The sequence below is a fragment of the Homo sapiens genome, chromosome 13, assembly GCF_000001405.40.
Source record: "Homo sapiens chromosome 13, GRCh38.p14 Primary Assembly".
Lineage (NCBI taxonomy): Eukaryota > Metazoa > Chordata > Mammalia > Primates > Hominidae > Homo > Homo sapiens.
Window position 1 is genome coordinate 69,673,635 of NC_000013.11, and position 4,494 is coordinate 69,678,128.

The 4,494-nt window shown below is 34.8% G+C and overlaps 1 annotated feature.

Annotated features, from left to right (window-relative positions):
- Nucleotides 3,530–3,730: a silencer, noted in NCBI's record as "peak2077 fragment used in MPRA reporter construct". NCBI's record gives its function as "represses an SCP1 promoter by STARR-seq MPRAs in K562 erythroleukemia cells {active_cell/tissue: K562}" and the evidence as "EXISTENCE:reporter gene assay evidence [ECO:0000049][PMID:32103011]".

Here is a 4,494-nt window from a genome sequence, read left to right on the forward strand (position 1 = left end):
AAATTCAGTTGGAATATATTTTCCAATAGATATATTTTTGAAAACTGCATTGTTTACAAAATTCAATTTACGGCTGGGCGCGGTGGCTCACACCTGTAATCCTAGCACTTTGGGAGGCCGAGGCAAGAGGATCATGAGGTCATGAGATCGAGACCATCCTGGCCAACATGGTGAAACCCCGTCTCTACTAAAAATACAAAAAAATTAGCCAGGTGTGGTGGCAGGCACCTGTAATCCCAGCTACTTGGGAGGCTGAGGCAGGAGAATTGCTTGAACTCGGGAGGCAGAGGTTGCAGTGAGCCAAGATCACACCATTGCACTCCAGCCTGGGCAAAAAAAGCAAAACTCTGTCTCAAAAAAAAAAAAATTGCAAAATTCAATTTACATTAAGTGATCCAATTGCCCAAGAATGACTTTTAGATACAAGTTTTTTTGTTTTATGTTGTTTAGAATGTCAAATTTTAATCTTAATATATATACATTCAATAGCACCATTTTCTCACCCTAAAAAATGCACTATTGCAGATCAATGAAATGAGTTACATCTCACTGACTACTTTCCTGTCATCCTTATTTTATACTGACACGGTTGTCTGAATTTCTCTTTTATGATCCCAACTCATTTATCTTTTCTGATTGTTTCCTTTGCAAGTATTGTCATTTCTGTTTCTACAAAGAGATCCATTAATATTTGTTTAACATTCAGTTTGCTAAAGTATCCTCCTTTTCTTACTATTCTTAGAACAGCTAGTAACAGGCACACAACTCTTCTTCTGAAACTGCATTTTAAGTCTAGTTCTTGGCTTCTAGTCATCTTGCCGTTCTTCTTTTCTCCCATGCTATTCTTTTTTCTGATTCAGAGGAACCTAACTGAAAATGGCACACACAAATTGACATTGACTGGTTACTCTGTTAGGTTTTATAATGGACTTCAAAAGAGAGGTATAATCTCTAATTCAACTGTTATCACCTAATAACAAAGGAGATTCATTGATTCTGCAGAGACAAAACACCAAGCACTCAGAAAAAACCCAATTTTGCAAGCACCTTAATGAAATGATTTGTACATTGACAAACTAAGTAATTCTTCCTTTCCTACTTTATTTCTTGGCTTTTGTTTCACTTGATTTCTTATTATATATTGTAATAAAATAATGAGCACATCTGGAGTCTATTGGTTTAGTTCAACAGTTCATATAAAGATTTTAAAGTCAATCAGAAATTATTTCTTAAATACAAAATATTTCTCTCAACAATTTATCAATTATTTTCTTCATATGTCAAAAGTTTTAGTGCATCAATTATGCAGGCTGTAATCTTAGTCCATTTTAGCTACCATAACAAAAATAGCATAGACTTTATGGATTGAACAACAAACACTATTTCTCGCAGTTCTGAAGGCTGAGAAGTCCAAGGTCAAGGTGCCAGGAGATTTGGTGTCTGATGGGGGCCCACTTCCTCATTCATAGATGGTGGTTTTCTTGGATAGCGGAGATTTAAAAGATATATACAACCACACACAGATACAGTTCTGACTATACATATATATGATCCTATTCGTATGTAAAGAAATTCTTAGTAAAATATATATGCAATTGTGTCTGTAAAGGTATACATACACATTTATCCAGATTTAACAACAAAGATAGGAATTCTGTTATACAGGAATAATAGCTTGTCAAGATAATAAACCCAGAAAGCTTCACCTCCTCATAAGCAGAGAGGATCTCTTGATATTCAAGGTTAAAGATAAAGTCTCTTTCTCCGGAAGGAAAAACAGGCAGATATACTGGCTGTTCCTGTATAAGCACTGAGTGGCATACTTTGGAGTTCCTCTCCTGTAAGGCAAACCCACTGCATGCCCAGATATCTGGTTCTCACTGTTTGAAGACTGGGATTCAATAAATGTGTATTAAGATGCTACTCTGGCTTGGTGGTTTTGGTGTGTAAAATAATACGTGGTATGTTTCTCTGATCCAGCAGTCTGAAATATCTCTCAATATATATAAAACTATGGCAGACTAATTGATTAGCTTGCAACTAGAAAAACACCTCAAGCCCTCAATACTTTATTATTTCACATATAATACCTATGATATTCTACCCCTCAAAAAAACAGAAGAATCTGTTCTCAAAACAGACGTATCTGTTCTCAAAACAGTATTACTTAACATCACACATCACTCTAAATAATATAGTTAAGTAATTTATTTATTTTTTGAGACAGGGTTTTGCTATTTTTGCCCAGGCTAAATTTGAACTCCTAGGTTCAAGTGATCCTCCTGCCTTAGCCTTCCAAGTAGCTGGGACTATAGGAATGCACCACTGCACCCAGTTTATAGCTAATATTTAGATAGAGTTTTTCAAATCTTTTAAAATATCCAGGTGTGCATGGGTATAGTTTATGATAATATCCAAAAACAAGCATCTGTTCTGGTATAAAAAATCAATAAGCTGTAATGAAATTAAAAAGTCATAACCTAGGATGATAATGATGCAAATATGCAGTACTTCTACTACTGACTATTCAGAAGCAGGCCAAGCTTTGTGATTAAAAACACAATCCTTCACAAGACTGACCTCACTTAAGACAATAGTCACAAATGTAAGGGTTCTCAGGCTACATTCAGTTTTAACCATTGGCTACAAATCTGTAGGTAGCTGCAACAATTTCAAATTCAATTCTTTGTTAGAATAACTCACAGGACTCAGAAAAGTGCTATACTTATTATTCTGATTTTATTGTAGCAAAAATCACAACCAGTCAAAGGGAGAGACTCAGAGGGAGAGGTCTGGGAGGGTGCCACCTGCAAAGCTTCCATCATCACTAGGATCATTAATCACTTGGCACATCAATAGATGACAGTATGCAGAGTATAGCCAACTAGGGAACTTCCTATCACCCTCAATGTCCAGGGCTTCTCTTGGGGTTTCATTATGTCAGAATGATTGAATCATTGACCAGGAGATTAAAGTCAGTCACTAGCCTTTTCTTTTCCTGAGATTAGGCTGACCCTCTAATTACATAGTTGGTCCTTCTGGTGGTCTGCCCTCATTCTGACTCATTTTGTTAGCATAAACTTTGTAGGGGCCCACCATGACTCAGCTTATCAGCAAAATAGTTTGAGGGGCCCAGCGTAAACAACAAATATCCTTAGGCTATCCCGTGGATTTAGAGGCTACCTTCTAGAAACTAGGAAAAAAGATCATCCAATTATTTTTGTTTACAGAGTATATTTTACATCTTATAAAATATAAAATATTTTACATTTTAATAAGAAATAAACATACAGAAAAAATAAATGTTTTTATAGTATATGTTTAATAAATGTTTTATTAAGAAATGTTAATATCATCTTGAACAGGTAAAGTTCTATAGAACTCTACTTTTTACATCAATATATTACACAAAGAGGCAGATGTGGCCCTATCATAAGCAGAATATCAAAAACTGACGTATGTTTTAAAAAGTATTCTCCTCTATTTGTAAAGCTAAGAGAATATTATCATTTGAAGTATCCAAGCAGAAGCAATATAACTGTCACTATCTGAGATGGCAGATTAGATGACTTCTAAGTTATTTTTCTATATTCCAAGAATATGTTATTTTGAATTTGTGTGGTATATTCTTCCGTGTGTTACACCCATTCTGAAACTGTTTGCATCACTGATTTCAAAACATACTCCTTTTTACTTCCAATATTTCAATGAATGATACCAGTATCTAATCAGTTTCACGAACCTAGAAACCTAGGAATCACCCAAGACTCTCTCCCAGCTGCAGTCCATCATCAAGGCCTTTGAGGTACACTCCAAAAAATAACTTCAAATTTTTCACATTTGTTCAGTGTTACTATCACTGACTTCATCCAAGATCTAATAATCTCTGAGATCGACTGCTAAACTACCTCATTCTGAACTCCAAATGTGACTCAAATATTAAGGCCACAAAGTGAGAAAATGAATAATTAACACGAAACTGCCAATCTCAGAAAAAACAAAAGGTTATAGAGACTCATTTATTCTAGTACATAAATATTTATATAATCAAGTGTCCAGTCCTAATAAATGTAATCTCAGTAGTGCCCTCAAGTATATTCTAAGCCAAACCATCTTTCTTTTATTCCTTTTTTTGTCCTTGGTGTGGGCACTGAAGAAGAAAATGTTTAGAGCAAAGCAGAAATTACTGGGCAAGCTTCTTAACAAAGTACAAAAGAGTCAAATATCTCTTTTATCAATAAGTTTCATCTTCACATACTTCAGAATAAATACGAGTATTCTGTTCTTTATGGTGTACCATTTGGAGTAGTAAATTCCATTGACAGTGACTTTAGGCAATGTGACTGAATAAACTTTATTAGGAAAAAAGTCCTCTAGGTGTGTTTAAGCACAATCCTTTTGAATTAGTTCCTTAAAGGGCATATATTATAAAAGTTCTACCTGAAATATCTAAAGTGACCATGAAATTTTCCATGGCAGAACGTAATCCATCCC